General features: G+C 36.2%; 1 protein-coding gene and 1 pseudogene across 5 annotated transcripts in view; one reads left to right on the forward strand and one right to left on the reverse strand.

Moving 5' to 3' along the window:
* The window catches only part of CPED1 (cadherin like and PC-esterase domain containing 1), a 308,732-nt gene that overhangs the window by 90,878 nt on the left and 192,826 nt on the right, over positions 1–25,028 (forward strand). For all 5 annotated transcript variants that reach the window (NM_024913.5, XM_047420856.1, XM_047420857.1 and 2 more), the window contains 2 exons: positions 18,111–18,243; positions 20,338–20,506. In NM_024913.5, coding sequence (NP_079189.4) covers positions 18,111–18,243; positions 20,338–20,506 — 302 coding nt within the window. The remainder of the gene's footprint in view (positions 1–18,110; positions 18,244–20,337; positions 20,507–25,028) is intronic.
* Positions 4,112–4,225, reverse strand: RNA5SP241 (RNA, 5S ribosomal pseudogene 241; annotated as a pseudogene).

Below are 25,028 nucleotides of genomic sequence, written 5' to 3' on the forward strand. Positions count from 1 at the left end.
GTGTTGCTCATAGCTTTATACTTTGCTTTGGCATCAGGCCAGTTTAAAAGTCCACTTTCCAGAAAACATTTGGCAGTTTGCTGACATCTCTGAAGTTGTGCAAAAGACTGACTGGCTGAGAAAGCTGAATAACCCCTCTGCTCTTTGGTAGAGTAAATTTCGAAGACCCCAGTGTCAAACTGATTTGGGAAATTTTATGTTTCTGGTGTTTGACTTCTATACTTATGTTGTCCTGTACAGACACTTACCTATTTCACTTAGAGAGTTTGTCATCTTGTGCCAAATGCCACTAGAAATTAGAGGCAACATTGGGTAACACGCTGATAATTTGTAGGATTCTGACAATTAATTCTGATTTTCAATAGACCAAAACTGAAGAAGTGAAAAGAAAGATATTCAGTTTTTTGATCTAAATCCCTCCAGCAGGCCCGTTTACTCACGTAGATGGTAAACATAGATGTGTAGCAGTGTGTCTGTATAATACCAAAACAGCTGGCTAACACATGAACTTCAAGCAATTGATATTGGATTTCTTTGCATTACATAATAAACACTGAGTAGTATACCATATTTTTACTTTGCAGATTTGGTTATCCTGTTCACCTAGCCTGAGTCTATTAATCAATAGTTTATTCTTAGTTGTGTGTAGACATATTCCATGTCTCACTATATAGCCTGTGAGAATAAAGTATACTATAAAATAAAGTATATTACAATTGTTTGGATCTTCCTCAACTAATACATCGCCCAGTGATTGTGATATGATATTTGCCCCAATAAATTCTTCCTGAACCATTATGTTTGCAACAGAAATATTAGGAGTTAATCTGAAACCTGGATCAGATTTCTAAAACACATTGCTTGCTTCAAAATAATGAGAATTTTTTTGCAGAAGTGGTCAAACTTTTTATTTTGAAGCCATCAGGGGCTCTGCCTGGGGATTATGAAGACTGAGTTAAGGGTACAGAGTACAATCAAGTTCCAGGAGTTCGCTGCTGAGGTGGAGAAAATTCACCCTAAAATTTACATACCTGCTTTGTGAATAAAACCAATAAGTGAAAGAGAACTATACTGTACTGTAATTTGTATTATTTACTTATGCATTTTAAAAACCTTCATTTTACACACACACACACACACATACATATACCCAGAGAGAAAGAGATTGAGAGGGAGGGAGAGAGTTTGGTGTTGGGGGATATACTGTTTTGAACTTCAAGATGATCACTCTTCCAGTCTCCTTCTGGTGGTAGAGACAGATATTGAGCAACAAGAAACTTACAAGTGTTATAAAAGAAAAATAGTAAGTTTGCAGTGCTCAAGGCTGTTTTCATTTATTTTCACAGAAGTCCAGGGCTATGCACTGATTTCTGATTTGCAACATATCATCAATATTAGAAAATAAAAGCCCACCAAAGTGATGCATTAGCTGAAATGCACAGAACTCCATAAATTGTATGGTATATAACATGTTACTCATGGAAAGGTGATGCTCGTTATGACTAGTCTCTTGAATTTACTTTTCATTTTAACCATAATTAATATTAGTAGGATAAATGCATTGTCACAGGCGTCTAGCCTCTTCCAATCTGACACATCCTGTTGAAAAATATATTGATAAAGACTCAAAATGAGAGTTGCAGCAAACTATAAACGAAGTGCAATACATTCGTTTTCCTTAATAGAATCTTAGAGTCTTTCATTTGCATTTGAAGTTGTGGTTAGAAAGGAACATGTCTGGCAGAAGTATAATTAACTGAATAAATAGGGTAGCTTTGGAAGATGTTTTACTCTTTGATGGGTTGGGTGTGCTCCTTTCTGGGAGAGAAGCATGAACTCTATTATATAGAAAACCCCATTCAAATCCTGTGATTCATTGCATCAATAACTTTTAAGACCATTTTCTTTCCACTTCTCCTAGCACCATCTAATGGTGAAATATGGAACTTTCTCTTTTCTTCTGCGTCACTTTCATTAACATCATAGGGTTAGAGCAGCTGTGCAATCCCAGTGTTGATACTCATTTCACAAGCAAATGTGTTGCATTTGAGAAGGCCAACTTTTGCCCAAAAGGAGGTACTCTGATTTAGAAAAATAGGCAAGTAAGTGCAACTTAGAGATTGAGTACAGTCAACAAGCATAATTAGTACTCGCTTTTGGCTTGTTGTGTAGATAATTATGGTGGGCTTTATGATTTATGCTGCAGGATTATTTTATAGATGTTACCCTAAAATAATAACAGGAGAGAACATTAATTTGTTGAACTTATCGTATGTCAAACACTGTGTCAGGCACTTTATACACTTCCTTCTTTCAACCCTCTATAGCAGTTAATTCATCCACATTAGCTGAGAGGGCCTTTTCATGGCGCATTTTGCCCCACCTATTTCTGAGCATCTATGAGAATGTATGTATGTATGTTTTGATATGAATTTTAACCCTAAAGGAAGGAATTTACAGTGATGGCAGAAATCAGGAATCCTATGGCCCAGGCTTGCAGCAACCTAATTCCAGTTCCACCTAGCTGCTAAATATAGTCATGCAACTTTGGGAAAAGTCCTTAGCCCATTTGAGCTGCTTTTCTAGACTTGTAAAATGGAAATAATTAAACTGACCATTCTTTCCTTATAGAGTTATGAAAATGCTTTATAAAAGAATATTATGAGTCTATGAAAATAATATATAAGAGATTATGTCTATATTACTCTGGATATCCATGGATTGATTTGCAGAAAGCAATTGAATGAGGTTTTCTGTTTTCTACCTCAACATAAAGCTGTCACAATAATATATAATGTGCTTTTTTGAGGCATTCTGATTTAGAAAGAAATAGGCAAGTAAGTACAATTAAGAGGTTGAGTATAATCAAAAAACATAATACTTGTTTTTGGTTTGTTTTCTAGATAATTATGGTGGGCTTTATGATTTTATGCTGCAGGATTATTTTATAGATAGATTACCCTAAAATAAAGCAGGAGATGACATTAAATTTTTAACTTATATGTCAGACACTATGTCAGGCACTTTATACACTTCTGTCTTTAAACCATCTATAGGATAACCATCTGTAAGATAGATATATTCATGCCTTTTTTAGATGAGTAAATGAAGCCTTCAAGAACCTCTGGGCTACACAGCTGTAAAGCAGCATATCCATATCTAAAGTATTATGCTATAACTTTGTGATAAACTTGAACCACTATACTGTATTTTAAGTCTGTCTTATAAATAAGAAAATAAGAAAGGAGCTATTTAAAGAAAATTGTTTCAGCTAGGCCTAATGAGAAACTGAATTTACCTATTCTATTATTATTTATTATTCTTTCATCAACTAAAATGATCCTTTAAATTTCTTATTTATAATAATATTTATGCATAAGCAGAAGTTAAGTGAATGTGCTGAAGGCAGAAGACTGTCTGTCTTTCTCTTGCTTTGTCTTAGTGTTTGTATAGGGCATTCAACAGCAGATGGGAATGAACAGCCCTGGGAGAGTCAGAAGCTCCAGTCCTCAGCTCTCACTGGCACTCTCCTCCTTGAGGGTCCTCCTTACCCTTTTCTGTTACCTCTTTTCTGATGTGCCTACTCCAGACTCAGCTCTGCAAACCATCTACAGCCTTTCTAGGCAGCATAGAAAATTTACCAATGCAAACCTTACAGTCCAGTCTTATGCCTGGGATTCATGATGAGTCAGATGTGGGTGTAGCCACCACCAGCATTAGCTCTGGGCCTCCAGAATAATAGTGACCCCCTCCCACATGGGGCACTTGGAAGGGCCAAGAATTAGTTGTCCTAGCTTTTTGAAGCTGTCCTTCTGGTCTTCTTGGGAGGGTTTATGATAGTCTTTAGAATTCACTGATTGTGCTGCCAAGCTGGTTTGTATAGCACCAATCTGGGAATGTTAATTAATGAATGCAAGTAGAGCCAAATTATATTTTATGGGAAATATGTGATTTCTGTGGAATTAATGGTTGTTGAAAATAGTTTTCAGAATGAGTAATTGCTTTGACCTGATTGCACAGGTGCTGGAGGATAGCAGGGAGGTACAGATGGAGCCAGGCTGCGTATGTGTAAATCCTGTCCTGACCACTTGATATCCCAGTGTCCTTGGGCAAGTTGTACCTTCTTTGTGCTTCGCTTTTCTTCCATCTAAGTACTGACCAAGCCCGACCCTGCTTAACTTCCGAAATCAGACCAGATTGAGCACTTTCAGGGTGGTATGGGACTGTAGTCTGTGCTTCAGCTTTCTGTCTACAATGTAGGGATGATCAGGACTCTGTCTCCTAGGGTTGCTAAGAGGACAGAATGAGTTAATACATTTCAAGTACTTGGAACAATGCACAGTGAGCACCCCATAAATGCTGAGTATTATGATTGTTTTTTCAATAAGTATCTCCAGAACTGTTAGTTTATAATTAGTAGCTACGACTTTAATCTAGTTTGGTGAGACTCATGTTTTTAAGACTCACTAACCTGGAGATAGAACTTGGATTCTAAAATCATTACAAAAATATTTCTTTGCCTCTACCTACATTTGCTATTTTCAGGCTCCTTCCCCCTAATATCCTGTTACTAACCACTACTGAGTCATCATAAAGCAATTCTCTCACTCCTATCAGACTCCAAATTCTCTTTTGAAAATAGATATATATTCATTGACACCTGGTTGATCCAGAATGAAATATCTATAACTCGCCTATCCACATAATTTTAACAAACCAGTATAATACCCCAACTCTTTTATAAAGGAAAATTAAGGTGAAAGTAATTTATAATATAACAACATGTATTTCAATGTGTAAATATTTATGCACGATTACACCATAGGGTGTAATGAAATAGTCAGATGCTTCCACTCATCTGTAGAATCACCATGAATGTGACAGCTACAAATTCAAATTGCTGTGGTTGTATCATAGAGGGAAACTAAGATTCCATAGGTCACATTGCTATTGGTGATGTGCCTTTCCAAAATGGAAACAGCTCTGGAGAAAGTCACAAATAAAGCAAAGCTTAGTGTCCCCTTGCTTGGCCATGGAATTTCATTTCTGCAAAATTCAGTATGTAATAAAACTGATTAAAATGAGTAAAACTGAGTTTATATGCAAAACCACATCAAGCTCTAGGTTCAAATAATTACCAACTGGCTTTTCATCCACATCAATATCCATTGAGACATTCAAAAGTTATGTGGGACAGGGGACAATGTGTTGTTGCACAGGGTGATACTCAGCATCGTAGCAGCTGTTGTGGTATGAGAATGAATGCCTAACCATTTAAACAGATGTTAGACTTTATACCTTACCAGTGCATTCCAAAGAAATACCAGATCTATCTTGCATAAGGCACAAATCTATTTGTGGCCTTTATCCATTAAATTTCAGTAGCATTGCTCATCGTAGTGACGGCCCCAAATGCTCCCTTTGTCTCAGAGATCACTTCCTATGTATTCATAAGTACAATCCTCTCATACTTGTTACAGCTATATTCACCGTTTACTCCACTTCTGCTGGAGTCCCCCATGGCCATCTGCTGCTGATGTACACCACTGCTCATGCCCACCAAAGGCACTCTGCCCCTGGGCTCCATGTGGCATCGGTCCTGCTGCTGCAGCTGCCTGTGTCTGTGCTGAGGTGCCATGTCCAGGGTCAGGGACAGAGATTCATGCAGTACCTGCTTCTCCTCCTGCTGCTGCTGAAACAAACTGCTGGTGTACATCCCACTGTACTAGTCATTGTCCTGCCCAGGGCCTGTCATCCCTTTAGTTTTCCAAAGCCTGAATAAGTAAAAAATAAATTGGATTTTTTCAGTTCAGTAGGCAAAATCCTTCTTTATTATTTTTTTCTATTGTATGTAATATTATAGTCTCAACATCTCACAGATAACTTGAAAAAAATGTTTTAGTATTGTTTTAGCTTTTGACCTAAACCCTGGAGTGGAAGTGGAGCCTGTGGAATACAAGAACAGCATACAAAAAAGTGCCTTTCTTTTTTGTCATCCTGGTATCCTTGGGCTTCTCTTGCCATCTACCTCTTTTTTCTTTAGGAGAGATTCCTTACTATTAAACCTCATGCATAGTTCTGCCAGTCAAGGCCAGACACAGTGGACTCCTTATTGAACATGGATTAGTTTCACACTAAAACTGCACTATACTGATAAATAATAACCGAATAGCATCTTGTCATCTCTCATTGACGATAGGGTTTAAAAGAACAACAACAAAAAATAGATGTATTTTCTACCATTTCCTATTTGGGGGGTTGTCATGGTGTGTTTAGTACCCCTGGGTTTTAACAATGTCCCGACTGAGCCTGAAATATTTCTCCCGAACAGAGTTTGGATACAGAGCTGAATTCAACCTTCACATATAAAGCCGTAACTATTTATACCATTGTGATCCAAATATTGCAGAAGCAGGAAGGTTTACTTTGAATCTAAATACAGAATTGAGAAGAAAGGGAGGAAGATGACATGGTTGAGTAGAAAGGTTATGCTTAATCTGTCTTCTTCAGTTCAGTATTTTGTAATGTTTCTGTTTCTACATTCCTTCCCTCAGTCCCGTGTAGGTCAGCCCAGCAGCCAATTTTAGAACAGTTTTGTGTCATTTAAGGGAAAGAACTTTCAACTGTATTTGTAGCAGGCTATAAAAAGCAAAGATACCACCCACAAAATGATATCTAAATTTTTCCAATTACGTGATTTATTGGTAAATCTACACATTTGTTGTGCCAAGAGCAAAATGAGAAATGTGCCAGGTGTACTCAGAGTTTTAATTAAGGAAACCTTACCTAATGGAAAGATTTTAATAAGGTATTTTGTTGTTTAAAAGCCATTGAAACAACATTTTAAGCCATTTGTCGATAAAAAGCCCTCAATTATGTAGAATATGGCTCATGAGGGAAAGTATACAAACTGGAAAGAAAACAAAAAAATTTGAGTCTTATGTTGATTTTGAAAATCATTTGGGCACTAGTGAGAAACATGTGCCCAAATGTCAACTCAGACTCCTGGGACTGGTAGATACTGCAAATTTTTTAAGTGATTTGGGTTGGAAAAGCTAGATTCAAGGGATAGAAGGAAATGCTGAGTAAATGCCAACATTCTCCAAGATAGTGGCAGTCACTGCAAGTTGGAAACAAGGTGAGTGGTTTTGAAGCACAGTGCTGAAAACCTGAATTGCAAATCATTTGATGGATAAGGGTGGCCATGAACTTTTGCCACTTTTCACTCCAGATCCATGAAATTGAATGAACATTCTTGAGTTTACCCTCTCTCCTAATGGAAAATTCATGCACTTTTGCTCTAAATCTGATTTTGCTCTGCTACCAATGACCATCACTCTTCACTGGCTGACCTCAGAGGCAAACTTGGGCAAGGGAACCTAACCCCAGCCATGAGGGCTTGAGCCAGGCATAGCAGGGGACCTAGGTAGAAATGACCCCTTAGAGAGAAAGCTGAGCATTACATTGTATTAAGTAAATAAATAAACAAATTAAAACACTCAATCCCCTCTCCACCCAATAACAACAGATCTGATTCCCAAAGTCTTGAATAGGAGTTGGAAATTTTAATATAGTTTTTTTTCTTTGGTTGGGGGAGGCAAACAAAAAGGCAGCAAAGGGGGAATTAGCCATCCTCAATACACAATAAATTTTTTGCCAAATTCAGTTTTTATAACCCTCTTCTCCTACTAAGTAACTCCCTCTAGCTCACTAAAACACTATCCTGCCCAACATCTCTCTTCATTGGTCTCTTTGTCCACTCTTCTCTCTCCAACAAACTGATATAGATTAATAAATCAGTTTATTATTTCCCATTACTTCAAACAACATAATAAAGACTTGGTTCCCAAATTAGCCTGTATCCCTCTTTCTTAGAGAGGGAAGGAAGAGGGGTATCTGTATTTTGACATTTTTTTTACTGTTATCCAATAATTTCCCATTTTAACTTAAAGCTAACTTGAATTATCTCTACTACTTACAATTCAAGCTTTTATTCAGCTTCCACTATCTGGGTCTGCACAGCCAAAATATGACAAAGAGTTCAAGCTCAAGGATTCTTTCTTTTTCTTTTCTTTCCTGTTTTTTTTTTTTTGGCAGAGTCTTTCTCAGTTGCCCAGGCTGGAATGCAGTGGCATGATCTTGACTCACTGCAACCTCTGCCTCCCGGGTTCAAGCAATTCTCTGCCTCAGCCTCCTGAGTAGCTGGGATTACAGACGCCCACCACCATGCCTGGCTAATGTTTTTTAATTTTTAGTAGAGACAGGGTTTCACCATCTTGGCCAGGCTGATCTTGAACTCCTGACCTCGTGATCCACCTGCTTCAGCCTCCTAAAGTGCTGGGATTACAGGCATGAACCACCATGCCTGGCCCAAGCTCACAAGATTTTTAAAGCTAGGACTATACTTCCCTAATATATTGAAAATGAATGTGACATTGAGTGCTACAAAATTATTTTCTCTAAGATACTTAATATATTTGATAAGAAATAGCAAGATATAAATGACTTCTTATCCATCATTCACCTATTCTTAGGCATTTATTTAGCAGTTTAAAACAGGAAGTTCAAGTCTAGGATTGTTATACAGGGCCATGCAAACAAGTGGTGTTAATTGAAACAAGATGCTGATGTCAAAACTCTAAAGCCTGGGTTAGCGTATGTTAAATTTGTGAAAAATAATTCATACGTATGTATATTCATATATATGGTAAAAGCATCTTGCCAGCACAAATGATAAGAGATGATTACAGAAAACTTGGAAGAATATCCTTACAGAAATAGTCATTTGAGGCCGGGCGCAGTGGCTCACGCCTGTAATCCCAGCACTTTGGGAGGCTGAGGTGGGCAGATCACGATGTCAAGAGTTCAAGACCAGTCTGACCAACATAGTGACACCCCATATCTACTAAAAATACAAAAAATTAGTTGGGTGTGATGGTGTGCGCCTGTAATTCCAGCTACTCGGGAGGCTGAGGCAGGAGAATCGCATGAATCCGGGAGGCAGAGGTTGCAGTGAGCCGAGATTGTCCCACTGCACTCCAGCCTGGGCGACGGTGCGAGACTGCTTCTCAAAAAAAAAAGAAAAGTAGTCATTTGAATGTAACGTCCTGGCTTAAATTCTCCCTGCAAAAGAAACAGGTTAACTTCAAAAGTTAAAATCTAGGCAAAAATTGGCAAAAAAAAAAAAAAAAAAAAAAAAAAAAATTGAAAGTGTAATAATCTCATTAACATCTTTAAAGACCAGCAATTATTTAGCACTTCAGATAGGAAGGCCCTTCCCCTCTTGGCTCAAATTAATTGGATAATTCTTTACTCATATGCAAGATATAAGATAGATGTACCTGGCTAATGATGGGGATAACTAGCTAAGGCTGAGAATTGAGACACCATTTCAGAAACTCTTCTCAGGTTCTGCCTGGCTTCTGACTCAGGCCCTTGGGTCCTCATCTATGAGGAGTGAACTCTTGTGTTATATGTCACTCAGCCAAACCTGAACCCCTCAGGTTCTAATCATATCACTGAGCAACTGGAGGGAAAGAACCTCAAGGCAAAATGGTTTAGTAATCCTATCAGAACATCTTTTCTGACATATTTCCATGTTTTTGACTTGTTTCTGGCATTTGGAGCTCTAACCCTCATTAGATTTCATTGTGGCCATTGGCTCTTGCCTCTCCAAGGTCTATATTCTTACCTCCTTTTGGGAGTCAGATATTATAAAAATCTTGATATTTTAAATATGTACTTGGTTCACATATGTTTACTTTTAAATAACATAGAAATAGAGGTAAATTAACAGGAATATTGTGTACATTTTATTATACCAAAAATACCAGGTAAAAATTGAAGGTTAAATTTGCCTGTGAAGTTGCCATTAAGTAAAAGATATATTAACACATGGTTTCATTTAAATAGGAGCCATGACCCCTAGTGTTTGTGTGTTACATTTAAATTAGAATTGACTTTCATATATATACATACATAATTTGGAATCACTGTTATAGGGTTCTAGTAAGTTATTATTCTGACTTAAATTATTTCAATGATATCTGATAGTTACTGCAGAAAATATTCCTGAGAAAAAAGTTTACTATTAATAAAGTGATAAACTACTTTTCACAGTGGGTGGGTTTAGGCTGCCATTCTATTATCATATTTGTTTCACTCTATGTGTTAATATTTTTTGGAGGTTGTGTTTTAAATTGTTATTAATGATGCTCATTAATTTATACTAAATTATCCACCTTTGGTCTTGTTGCAGTAGTCAAGCATTTTTCTTTTTTAAAAAAATGTCATTTCCCCTGGAAAATTCATGCAGAAAACCATCAAAGGAAAATTAAACTGCCATAAAGTAATAAAACAATCTTTCATGCTGTGTGGTCATTGCAGCGAAATCATAGGGCAAGAAAATTGAAGTAGTAGTCTAGATACAGCTTTTATAACCGACAAGAATGAGCAGAACTCAAGGTTCTTATGTGGTCATGGTCAAAACATAGAGCAGTCCAAGGGGAAAATTATTTCTGTAGAATTGCATGACTTTGACACTTCCACTGAAAAAGACTACAAAGAAGAGCGTTCATGGCTTGCGTTTACTGAGTGCTCCATAAGCATTTGATTGAGTGGTTAGTTGGTGGAAATTTTGTACAATGACTACCCCTTTAGAGCACATTGCTGTGTCATTGATCTGGCCACTTTTATGGGTCAAATTGTGTCTCCACTTCACTGGGACATGGACTACATTTCATTTCCTATAACAAAGTGAAAGTTACTGTTTTTCTGCCAAGAGTACTGTCTAGAAATACCATACTATTCGTATTTGTGGTTTGTTGTACACTGATATGATAACATCATATGAAAGATATTCTGAAACCATAGAGAATAAAATATTGTTATCAAAGTCACACAAGTAGTAATACAATAATGTCAGATCTTGATAAGTGAATTATGAGTTGCCTATGTTAAGGCTAGAATTCTGTACTAATATACCTTTATGTGTTTGGCGTATCCATTCTCTCAAAGATACTCTGGTCAATGCTATTTGCATAAAATAAAAGTAAAAACGTATTAAAGAATCGATGTGTTTAGGCCAGGCGTGGTTCACAGCTGTAATCCTAGCACTTTGGGAGGCCAAGGAGGGCAGATCTCCTGAGGTAAGGAGTTCAAGACCAGCCTGGCCAACATGGTGAAACCCTGTCTCTATTAAAAATACAAAAATTAACCGGGCATGGTGGCGGTTGCCTATAATCCCAGCTACTCGAGAGGCTGAGACACAAGAATCGCTTGAACCCATAAGGCAGAGGTTGTAGTGAGCCGAGATCCTGCCACTGGCACTCCAGCCTGAGTGACAGAGTGAGACTCTATCTAAAAAAATAAAAATAAAAAAAAAAGCATAGAATTGTTCAGAGTATACAGATCCCCAAATTATATTATTTAAGCTGAAGTGTAGGTCTGAAATAGTTCCTGGAGTTTTGTCTAGGTGTCATAAATCTGTTGACTACAAGCTATTTCTGTTTTAATTTGAGTTGGTTGCTTGAAAAGAAGTATGTCTGAACAAAATACAGAGGAAGAGACTTAAATACTGCAGTAACTGAAAAAAAAAATTGCAGTAACTGACTCAGTCCTAGGTTTACTCCATCCATAGAAACCTAATACAGAATTCCTTTAAAGAAGTGAAACAGAACAAGAAATGAATTCCTTTCCTGGGATACTGCAATGCAAAATTTGAGGAGGATCACTAAAAACATAGTGTGTCTTTACAGGCCATGTATAAGTAAAGATACTGTGTTTTATTTTGGTCTTGTTTTTAAGAGAGTAATGTCAAATACCAGATGTTTAAGAATGCCATAAGAGGATTCAGTGGATTCACTTTTATCTGTTAGTGAGTAGTGGTGGGAACCTGTTAGTGTTAAACTCAAAAGGAATAACATTGTAGCTACTCTTTGAAATTTCCGAAGTTAGAAACAAGATTTCTAGATTATTAAAAAATCTATATTAAACTACTATTTAATAGTAGCAACTGTGTAACACTTCTTGAGCATATAAGTCAAAGGCTGTGCAAAGCACTTTAAGGGAAATTCATATTTAATTCTGTCAGCATCCACATGAGGTAAGTTCTTAGTATTACTATTCTTATTATTCTAATTTTCCAGATAAAGAGACTGAATTTTAAAAAGTAAAGAAATTGACTCATGATTACACTTATATAGGCATCTATTAATAAACAGAAATTCGTGTTTTTAAAATGTTATTTATAATATTATTTGTAAAATATTTTTGGAAAAATATTATTTAGCAACTATCTATAATGTGCTGGACAAATTAGATTATGCATCTTTATTGGTTTCCCCCACATCATCTTGGGCCCAAGTTCAGGCAATTTGGTAAAACAAATGAACCCTAGGCCTCTAAATCCTTAACTTTCTCAGTGTCCTTGTAAGGAGCAGCCTTCCTTTTGGCTGTCTGCTGGTGACATTCTCTCCTATGCTTTCCCATGCTCATTGTGGGTTCCAGGGGGCTTTGCTGATATTAGGCCTCTTGGTCTTAGATAGTTAATCTATGAGCTGTGGATCCCTTCCTGGGACTGCCTTGGTGCCATTGTTGCAACCCACTCTTGTGTACGTAGTATTGTGCCAATCTAACACTACATTGTGGTAGCGAGAGAAAACCAATCCCCACCCATGTTATACACATTTCCTAGGTCTGAACAATAAGTTTGCCTTATACAAATCCAGTGAAGTTGCTCAGCAGTTGGCTTGTTTACTCTTTTCATTTCTGTACATACATCTGGTTATTTGGGTAAGAAGAAGTGGAGTTCACTTATTAAGTATAGATTTATCTGAGATCCTATATTAAGTGCCAGGATGTGTTTGGTGCTTGGCACTAGTCATTCAGTGGAGAAAAAAAAATTAGAATCTTTGCCGTCATGGAGCTTATAGTCTAGTGAACTGAGAATACCCTTAGATGCATTCAAAATAACCCTTCTCTTCTAACTTCCAATGGGTGATCAAGCTTGTAAACTTGACTCTACCTTGGGATATGTTTTCTCACCATTTTATACACTGCTTAAGAGGTGAAAGGGTGGTTGATGCTCCTCAAATAGTAGTTAGGGGGTAGGAGCTTGTTCAGCTAAAGCCTCTTCCCACGAGGCTTATTGAGCCTCACTCAAATGAAATTGGAGCTGATTGACCCTGTGGAGCACTCATAATGACCAGAACATGAGAAGTTAACAGTGGGACTGCATTTCAGCTCTGGTGCTGAGACCCTGGCCACTTATCTTCTCCATTAGGCCATTTATAGCACATATTTAAATCATAACTTTGTATCTAGGGTCACAGAGATTCAAGATTGCAAAGGACCTTAGACACCATCTACTTATTCTTTTAGTCTACTTGCTGCTAGACTTTTTCATCATCATACAAAGAGAAAACAGATTCAGAGCTGAAGATTTTTGTTCTCTTCTAGCAACTGGCACAACTTAGACTAGGCTTCTATTGTTTTCAAAGCACAAGACGAACACTCATTGAGTGATTTCAAGGTCCCCTTTTTGCCATTTCTACCTACTGACATTCTAGACACTGGAACTGTTTTTCACAGTAGTATGTTTAGTCACTCTTTCTTCCCCACCGTAGGCATCATGGTGAAGGAAAAAAATTAGGTTGAACATTATGAAATTGCTGATATTTGATCAACATTCAACAATTTTTTTTTACCTAACAAAAGGCAGTTTTATGTGGCTCAACCTATGCTATCCCTTGCTGCCACATCTAAATGCTCTTATTTGAAATCAAAGCTAATATTGCTCCCTTTTTCTGTACACACACACACACACACACACACACACACAGTTGTTTGTTTGTTTCTCCAGGACTTGTGGCTACTGAGAAGACTAGGGCCAAAACTTGTATTTACCAAGTACAGTGTAGAGTTTGTGCTGAATATTCTCTATTTGCCCCTCAGATTCACTCTACACCCATCTCCAGGGAGCCGTCCTCCACAGACTGCATCCACAGGGCAACCTTGTCCCCTGGCATCTAGCAAGAGATTGAGGACAGGAGGAAATAATTTGGGAATATTTGTTGCCAGGCTCCTTCCCCTCTGGACCCTGGCTTGAAAGTGGCTGTGTTCCTCTACCTGTAGCCATAGTCTTCTTAATGGCCTTTCCTATAACAATGCTTTTGCCTGGTTCTGGAAACTTCTCCTTCCTGGGCTAAGAGTGGTAAAAGCTTCCCATTTTGTCGGCCCTGGGGAGCTCCTCTACCCCTTGTTGATTTTCCTGAACTATACCCATGTGTTTGTTAACAGTCCCTTCTTTAATAGTCTCATGGTTGGTAGTCTGTTCAGTTACTCCTTTGACTCTGCTGTCTTCTGGGGCCCTGACTGATAGAGTGATTTCCTGGCTGTGACTTCAGTTTGTGCATATATTAGTTTCTATTTGCTATATGTGAAAGTTCTGATGTTATATTTGCAGAGCTGTTATACCTGTAGGCTAAGTTCTAAGACTTATCAATGCCCTCAGGCAGGAGGAACAATTAATGTACTCATAAATGGTACTTATTTATACTTCTAATCTCAAAACTAATTGCGAATTATTAAGTAAGGCCTTTATCTTTATTGAAAATTTTAAAATAAGAAAATGCTGGCTAAATCTAATTTTCTAATATCAAAATGCAAGACAATATTCAAACATCTGTGAAATATAATTATACTTTTATTATTACTTCCCTATTAATTATTAGTTGTAAGGCAAAACATTAAATCAAATGCAATATGAATTTGGCATCTAATCTTTGCCAGTGTAAGTGTTTTTTCAGTGTTTAATATTTGACTGTGGTGTATATACTCATATGTCACATAGAAGGGAAAGAAGTAATCGAATAAAATGTTTTTAATTCATTGGAATATGATTTTGTTCTCTAACCATAGATTGGCTTAAACCTCCAAAACAAGTTCATTGTTAGAACAAATATTTCAAATATTTCCTGAGCACTTATTTGAGTGCTTATTTTAGTCAGTATAGTGTTCAGTGATATGGGAAGTTCAGAAGATTCATGGGATTTACATTCTGGATTTTAGAAGGCTTCCTAACAATGTCACAAGCCTATTAATTGTTGGTAGACAAGAACCAAAACGAAAGCCCAGGTCTCCTGTTTCTGGTTTAATCATCATTTTCATAATGCTTTTTCCCCATAAGCAGGCGCTCAGTATCTAGCCAACCAGATATTAAAAGATATTGAAAAGCAGGCTTCATGCATCCCTAACAAATTGTTCACTTTTATTCTGGGTAAACTTTACTGATCATAAAGTTACAGGCTTCAGGGCTCTCTAAAATAAGCTAAGAGTAGCCAATAAATAAAAGTACAGCACTATCCACCATATGGTATTTCACATTTTAATCTATTTTCCATTCAGTTTGCATATTATGCGGGCAGGAAAGCCCTAAAGAGTCATGCCTAGGTATTCCATATTAAGTTACTTTAACATTTTTAACAAGTATATGTTAATGAACTAGGCTATTTGGAAGACTGTGTCATACAGCCTCATCACCCAAATCCCTTCCAAAAACAGAAGGTCGTTTGAGCATTGTTTGTAGGAGATTTCTAGGCTCTTTGAGTGTGTTGGTTGGGCTATGGAGAAGGGGGATGGATTAATAAATGGATTAGACTGGACTGTTGAGAGAGCCCTTGAAGGCTATGCCAACAGATACAAGAAATAGTGCTCCAGACATACCTTTATCTGTTAAATGATAGCCTAGGACACTGAAATGTTTACACGATTATTTATAAAATTCCATAAAATGCATTTGCAGCTTTTAAAGATATAAATGAAGCTTATATCTAAGTTGTGGCTATAATCAAGTTAAATGAGAATAATTTTAGAGGGGACAGCTAATTACAGAGGTTTTTTTTTTTCTTTTAGAATAATAAAAAGTAACATCCAAGCCTGGAATAATATAATTGGAAGCCTAGAATTTATTGATATATGTATACATATAAAAATAAAGGTAACATTATTTTGCTCAGTATTCATTTCCATTATCCGATCACAGTTTCAGAGATTCATGTGGAAATCTGACATAGTCTTGGCAATTCCTGTATTGGACCCCTTCAGTTTCATGTATAGCTCCACTTGAGCTAAACCAGAAAAAAGTGACATAAAATTGTTTATTCTTTTGACATGTTTTTTGACAACTTCCTCAAAACCATTGAGATACTATCTTGGCACAAAACTTAATATGTCTAGCTTCTTTAATGTCAAGTGTGCTTGGGTTTGAAATCAATTCTGTGCTTTTTGGCAGCAAGGTAAGAGGGAAATCAGAGTAAATTATACTTTTCTCATACTATACAAAAGAAGCCTCCAAATCAGCTCTTTGGAGAAACAAAACTTGTCCTAGTAATAGACTCTGAAAACATAACTCTATTTAGTAAAATTTTAATTAAGAACACGTATTTTATTACTGCAAATTGAAAGGCTTACATAAACATTTCAACTTTTTAAAAGTTGTGATTCCCAAGAAAAGAAAATTAACTTAATGGCTGTTCATTCATCACCTCCAAAACCAAAGCCATTTGAATATTTCCTTTATTATGATGTATTAGAACTTCATTAAAAGGGAAAACTTACAAGTAAGTTATCATTTTTGGAGGAAGATCACACTGTGCTAAATAATGAGATACGGGAATACATTGAACAGCTTGACTTCTGCTGACTTTTACTTAAGAGTGTGAAGTGTTTTAAATTAGACTATGTTAGTATTGATGAAATGTGCACAAAGGGGAAAAATAATTTAAAGGCTTTGTTCTATTTTGAGAGCTAGATAAATTATATAATTAAAAAATAAAGCACTGTGACCTGGGATTAAGAAAACAACTTCTAAATACTGTTGGAGAGAGTGGAAATTGGAGCAACCATTTTGGGAGGCAATCTGGTCATGTCTAACAAATTTGCAGTGCGTTTACCATTGACCTGGCAATTACACATACCAATACAAATCCGCCACTAGACAAACTTGTAAAAGTACACCAAAATAGATGTATAAGAGTATTCATTGCAGTACTTTTGAAATAGCAAAAGAAAAACATTACAAAAATAATGTAAATACACAACAATAAAGAATGGCTAAATCAAATGTATATTTATTTATTTAATGACGCACCCTAAGCTATTAAGAGGTATGTATGAAATAACTCTGAATATGCTGATATGGAAAGGATGCCAGGATGGGTTAGTAGGTATAAATAAGCCAGACATATATTATTATGACACCTCTTTGGGATAATTAAAAAAACAAACAGAAATACCTACATATATAGGTTCATGTAGATACATTGATATTTATATTAATTACATCAACTTTTATATTGAAGAAATATATGCATCTGACCCAATGTGCTTATTCAGATCTTACAAGTTAATACGTAAGCATTGGTTTTTGGTGGGAAGAGGTTCTAGATAGAAGTGAATTGGAGGATGCTTTTTCTGCTCATTTGATTGCTTTCTGTAATATTTGATTTTTGTAATCATGTATATGCAATAACTTTATTTTTAAGCATGTCCATATGAGTGTTCTTAAGTAAACCATTATTATTGTTCTTTATTTTTATATACCTTAAAATCCAATAATTAATATTTTATAAGACAATAAAGCCCTGTTGTTGAGATTCCCAAGGTCAGGAAGCATAACAAAGTTTAGTATATCAGCATTGTATTGTCAGGAAATCAGCTCAAGTTTTCTATGTAATATTCTCATGACAAACAAAAGTCTGCTCTTGCAGCCACCACCCCCTCATTGAGAATGCATCCCTTAGCTTTGTAGGATAGATCAGCTTGATGTTGGACAGTTAGAGACATTGTATCTACCTCCCCTTCTGAGCAAGAAAATGAAATCAATTATTACAGTTGTTTTCCTCCTCTGTAGTAAGAGAACATATGGCAAACAAAGGCCTCTCTAAATATGCATTCATACTTAGTGGATCCATTTTTGATTCAGAATGGGGAGAAAAATGGTTGCATATTTCTCATGTACCCTGCAGTTTAATACAGCATACTCTATTTTCAAAGCAGTTCCAGAAAGAAACAATAAAATGACTGTCTTCTGCTCTCTTGAATCTTTTCAGAACTGCAACTTCCAGTGAGTCCCTCTGTGTGTCTGGATCAGGGAATGCAATTAAAGCCGAGTACTTCGAGTCACCTTTTAAAAACAGTGAAGCCACGTGTGTGGAAACCAGGGGACTGGAGTCGTGAACAGCTGTAAGCTAATCATTTTGAATTGTTATAACCAGCATGCATTGTAGGAGACAGCTAACAAGAGAAAAGCACAGAACAGATATGGGGGGTTCACATGTGTGAATTATTAGTTTCTCTTACATAAATTTTCAGCTATCCTTTTTAAATAAAGAATGCCATCATTGACTTTCTCCTAGATTAATTCAAACCTGTCCTGCCAGAAAATAAACATTTGGGTAAATTGGACTCTTATCTAATAAGTTACATTAAAGGAAATTGAATTTAAAACCTTGACAATGCAAAACTATAAAATTTTAACTTCCATTTTATACTCAAATGACTTTGCCTTAGACTATGAATATGGCTGGATGCATTTTTTTTCTGCTATTTTTTTTATGGCTCTTAGCATCTAAGAAAGCATCTGCTGTGTATCAAGTTATCCAAGTTTTCTCCAGGGAAAGGATTTTATAATGTAGATAAATTATAGTTAAAAATTAAGAGGTTTTAATTATCTTACCCAAGACACAAATAAGTTTGCCTCATCTAATTTTATAATTATTAAGTAGTATTTAAACAGTTAATAGTATTTATTGAAGAATCATATGCATCTTGTGCCAACCTAGAATTTTAAAGTTTAAAGTAGGCCAGGTGCAGTGGCTCATGCCTGGGATCCCAGTGCTTTGGGAGGTCAAGGCAGGAGGATTATTTAAGCCCAGTAGTTCAAGACCAGCCTGAGCAACATAGTGAGAATCCATCTATACAAAAAATAGAAAAATTAGCCAGGCACAGTGGTGCATGCCTGTGGTCTCAGCTACTCAAGAGGCTGAGGCAGGAGAACCAACTGAGCCCTCGAAGTGGAGGCTGCAGTGAGCTGTGATTGCACCACTTCACTCCAGCCTGAGTGACAGCAAGACCTTGTCTCAAATATATATATATAAAAATATATAAAAATATATATAAATATATATATATAAAAATATATAAAAATATATATAAATATATAAATAATATATATATAAATATATATATAAATATATATGTATAAAAGCACAGTCCTTTCATTGATCAAACTTAGATATTTAACATTTAGAAATATGATGTAGAAAAGCAAATAATTATACATTTTGGTATCATTTATGATGAAAGCATATTTGTTTCATTACAAAATATTAAACTGGTGTTACTTTTCCTTAGTAGCCTGAGGTGTTTTTTTAATTTTTTTAATTTTTTAATATTTCATCCCTTAAGTTAACTCTTCATTATCTGGGAGTAGGGACATTAGGTAAGATTGAACTAGTGGGGAAAGTATTTTCGCATATTCTTGGTGACCTGTCCACTATTTAAAAACTTAACATTTTTTTCTAGAGAAGAAAAAATAGAGCAAAGGTAGGCAGAGGTAGAAGCTTTTAGAAAGTTTCACCCAAACTGTAATTTATATCACTTTTGTTGCAATGGTATCATGCATCTGAGGTCACGGGTACTGTAACTAATTTATATATTTATTTTTTAAATTCAACTTTATTCTACATACTACCTTTCCACCTTTTTATTTAATTAAATTAATTAATTTATTTATTTGAGACAAAGTCTTGCTCTGTTGCCCAAGCTGAAGTGCAATGATGCAATCTCAGCTCAGTGCAACCTGCGCCTCCCAGGTTCAAGTGATTCTCCTGCCTCAGCCTCCCAAGTAGCTGGGACTACAGGCCCATGCCACCATGCCCAGCTAATTTTTGTATTTTTAGTAGAGACAGGGTTTCACCCTGTTGGCCAGCCTGGTCTCCAACTCCTGAGCTCATGATCCGCCTGTCTCGGCCTCCCAAAGTGCTGGGATTATAGGCATAAGTCACTACGCTCAGCCACCTTTTTTACTTTTTAAAAATACTTTGATTAAATCTGCCAGAGTGGGGAACTATTACCAATTTGACTCCTTCTCGCTGTACCTCTCCACCACCTGGTGGTGATGCTAATAAGCAACTGAAATTGTTCAAGGAAACCCACACACTGAGGGCTGGCGTCCTACAAAGGATAGAAGCAGTTTACAAAGCTTGTAGGTAATTTACAAATTATGTACTCAACCCTACATTATGGAGCGCTAACTATGTTTTTTTTTTTTTTTAGGAATGAAACGACAGTCCTTGCTCCACATGAAACAATCTTTCGAGCCGAAGATCTATCTGTGATTCTTAAAGCGTATGTGTTGGTGACGTCCTTAACCCCTTTGCGTGCATTCATTCATTCGACGGGCACAGTTTGGAATCCACCAAAGAAAAAACGCTTCACTGTCAAGGTAAGCTCTCGGTTGAAGCTATTATTTCACGTAAGTACACTGAAGTAAAGTAAAGTGAGTTGGGCTGCCATTTTCCCACCTTTATGGTTATCAAATCCCATTGAACAAGGATCACATCTTTTTTATTGCCGCAAGAAAAGATTTTCACTTAATAGGTGCAGGTTTAAAAATGAACTGGAAGCAGCTTAATTCACTAGGGATCACAAAGGCTACATTCTTTTTTCTCAATTCATCATGATAGTTCAATTCTTTGATCTACTTATTACAGAGCTAGTTCACAGCTATACTCTGTTTTTCTTAATTTTTCACTTATTCAAGAAAAATATAGTCAAGGCAACAAATGAAAATACAATTTTGCCTTTGTGCTTTTTGCTTCACCCTTAGGAAGCATAATGCTAGTTCATCACACCAGTCAATATGGAATATTTGCTGAGTGAAAAATAAAGCTCTCAAGTGTGCCTAATATAGCAAGCTATGACATAAAGGATAATAGGGAAGATTTCAGGGAAGAACTCAATAATAATCCCAAAAAGTTTAATAAGTTATAAAAGGTAGCTCAGGTCAACTTGGCTGAAAATGAGATCTAGTGACAATATGTTTGATAAATTTGAAAGAAATTTTGATTTTACAGTATTTTATTGTTCTGCATACCAAAAAGAGGAAATAGAAATGGAAAGAATGCATAGGGTCCCTCATAGTTTGAACAGATTAGAAAATGACTGAACTTGATTTTTTTCAGAATTTACCTTCATAAACTGAATTTTGAATTTTGGAAAATCTTCCACCTCAAGAAGAAGGCATGAGCAAATTTTAGAATTTATTTCTGCCATCTTATTTTTTTATTTAGTATGCTTTCTTTTTCTCCTCTTAAACTTTGCTTTTTCACTGAAAAGCTTACATATTCTTCTGTAAGTTTAAAAGTTGTACATTCTTTACCTATATAACATACAGTGGTCACTGTTAATTTAAAACATGCACTCATTGTTTATGTTTTCCTATGATTTCTTAGACTTTTCAATATCTCTATCTGCTTCCCAACCTTGCCTTCTCAAGACTCTTTTGGTCTCTGTACCATGTCCCCAAATCCCATTATCACAATGTAGATTTTTAGTTTTAGTTGAAATAATCACTTGTTCCCTTTTTTGGTTTTTTTTTTCCTCAAAAACAAAACAAAACTTTATCAAGACACTTACCATCCTTACTTCCCCACATTGTTTACAATGCCCTCCTGGATTTATTTCTTTTATTATTTGAGTGTTTTCAATTTGAGTCTGATGTCCTTAATCTTTAATTCTAAAAATTTGTTTTCATGATTTCTTGAAATATTTTTGCTCACTGTTTTTATTCTTCCTTCTCCTGTTGACCAGATTTGATCCTTCCATTTCTATTTATATTATTTGGCTTTTCTTATCTGCTTTCTGGAAGCATTTCTGTTTTCTGAGACAGTTCTTCAATCTTATCTTTTGAATCGTACAATCTGTGTCCGTTTTTGCATTGCTATAAAGGAACACGTGAGGCTGGGAAATGTATAAAGAAAAATGTTTATTTAGTTCATGGTTCTGCAGGCTGTACAAGTATGGAACCAGCATCTGCTTGGCTTCTGGTGAGGCCTCAAGAAGCTTCCACTGATGGTGGAAGGCAAAGTGGGAGCAGGCATGTCACATAGTGAGAGAGGGAGCAAGAGAGATGCCAGGCTCTTAAACCAAGCTCTCCTGTGAACTAATAGAGGGAGAACTCACCACAGGGAAGGCACCAAGCCATTCATGAGTGATCCACACCTGCAACCCAAATACCTCCCAGCAGGCCCCACCTCCAACATTGGGGATCATATTTCAACATGAGATTTGGAGGGGGCAAATATCCAAATTATATCAAAATCCTTCTTACGCTATAGCTTTGTTGCTGTCTCATCCGTTGTTTCTTGTATTTCAGTTATTTATTTAATGCTGCATGTATAACTTAAATGCTCATGCCCCTTCACTTAAAAACTATGTATATTTTTATTTACTTCTGATATTTTTTACCATATTTCCTCTTTGTTCTTTTTAATGACTTCTTTTTCACATTTTATTTTGCTACTATCTTCCATTATTTCCTTGAGTATATTGCTGGCATGCTTATTTTAAATTCCTCATCTATCAGTTTTGGTAGCATGATATATATTGTTCAGTTTGTTGCCTTTCTTTTGAAGTAGCTGTATTTTTTGTGCATTCTCTATTTTGTCCTTTGAGCTTAAGTCCTCCTGCAGACATTATTTATTCCAGCTAGTATGATGTTTGGGGAAGGTCAGTCCTTTCAGGTGAATCCAAGGAGAAGGGACAGAATGTGCTCCAAACATGAAGAAACCACTTTTGGTCACTTCCCTTTGTAGCCAGGTAACTTCCCTGGTCAGAATTTCACCCCCTAAACTCTCTTAGGCATAAAAGCACAGGGAGGAAGCACATCTTCCTCCGTTATATGTCATCAAGGCTGAAGGTTGACAGACAGTAGGGTGGAGGAGTGAATGCCACATGTGACCAGTAACTCCATACAGTTTTTCCTCCTTTCTCCCAAGAAATTTAGCAATCTGAATCCTGGGCCTGGGCTTAGCATCCTTAACAAGGAAGGAACAACCAATAATTGCCCTAGAGGAAGACAGGGGAGAGTTAGGAGGAAAACGAAAATATTTTCCTTCAGCCTGTCCTCTCAAATAGCCTCCAACAACTCCCCTCCCCCAACTCCACTTATCCCTGACCGTGGCTACCACTGGTCAGACCAGTTCACAATAGCTCTAGACTCCCTTTCAAAGAGGTGTTTGTTATTTTTCTTTGTTATCAAATTCTTGCTTCATTCTCATTTCACCTGGGCTAGTGAATCATCTTAACAGGAAACTGAAGCTCTTAGGTATTTTAAATAATTTTTAAAGTATTTTTCCTCTTTGTATGTAAGTGCCGCTCCCCCTACCCTGATACAAATAACAGGCTAATTTTTATGATAGTTTTTATTTATGTATTTCCTGAAAATAAATGAAAAAAGAAATCTCCTTGTGATCTGGTTTTCTTTAGATTTTCATGCTTCATTCACTATCTCCTTTCTTATTCATATTTTTGTCTTTTCTGTGAGACAGATGCAAGCTGCGGTTGTAGCATAGGAAAGCATGCAGTTCTTGTCATTTTCATCCTCTCCTTGGGATTTATCTTTTCAAGATCTTGCCTGATTATTCTGGACAATACTGTTATCTCCTCAGAGGGAGGTAGTGCAGCTTCCTGGGTCAATGTGGAGAAAGTGATTGTTTCCTTACTAGTTCAAAGTTACGCTTGATGATACAGATAAGTTTCAGAAAACAAGAGGATATTTATTTACCCTTCAACTGATGTACTTGTTATTTCAGTTAAAACAAATAGATTATAACTCATCTGTTAAATTACTTAACCATCCTCAGAAATACTGCTTTCTACTGGTATTTTTAGATGTGAAAAAATACACAGAAACTTCTCACTGCTAATGTGGAGGACAAAACCAAACCCACTTTAAAAACTACCCACGCTATACCAGCATGTTATTAAACACTGTCCTTAAATTCCACAAAACATAATTTTGTGTGTGTGTGTGTATGTGCACGTGTGTGTGTACTGAGTACTGAATTCAAAGCCCAAATGACTTAGTTAAATCAGTAGTGATTTATGTACTGTGTGATGAGGCAAGCCCACTAAACTAGTTATCAGTGAACATTTATAGAACATTCTGGCAGCTAAAGAAGGTATGAAGGCAATAACAGATATAACTATGAGCTCATTTATTTCCAATTAGGTCTTCTGCTGAGATACTTTATCTGTTAAAGCTTTGGAGAGAGTAAAAAAAATCAAGAAATGCAAATTTGAGGAATAATGGAAAATAGAAGCTTTGTAAACTATTTTTAATGCCCTTCTACATAATAAAATATTTAAAAATTTTAGTGTTAGATGTTTCCCAAGGATGTTCAAACCTAAAATCAGAGGAAGTTTTGAAAGGGAAAAATTCGCAAATGTAATATTTGCTTACTATACCATTTGATCTGATTTTAAATCAACTCTATTTGTTGCTGTTAAGACAATATCATTTACTTGATGAGTATAATAAATCTAATTTTAAGAAATATTTTATTTTAAAATGTCTTCCCTTAAAAAGCTCTTAATTATAAAACTTCAGTTTGTATCTATAAATTCACGAGTAAAATTCTTTCACAAATATTCTAACTATAACTTTTGGTTAAATGCATCTATGTCTGTCTTAAAACACAGGTCATAAAGATTAACTGCAAGAAATGTCATAAATTTAAATTCGGTTCTTAGAGCAAAAAGTCACAAGTCATCCCTTCATCCGTTGTAAATCACAAAATAAGTTACCCAACAGAGAGGCAACTGTAATATCTGTAACTTTTTATGATGTCTGAAGATTCTTTGTACTTCTGACCATATTTGACTATTTTTATGAAAATGTATCGCTGAAGAGATTTGTGACTTCTGGCAGAAAAGCTTGTCCAAAGCCTTATTTTGTCCAGTCA

Source organism: Homo sapiens, chromosome 7 (assembly GCF_000001405.40).
Source record: "Homo sapiens chromosome 7, GRCh38.p14 Primary Assembly".
NCBI lineage: Eukaryota > Metazoa > Chordata > Mammalia > Primates > Hominidae > Homo > Homo sapiens.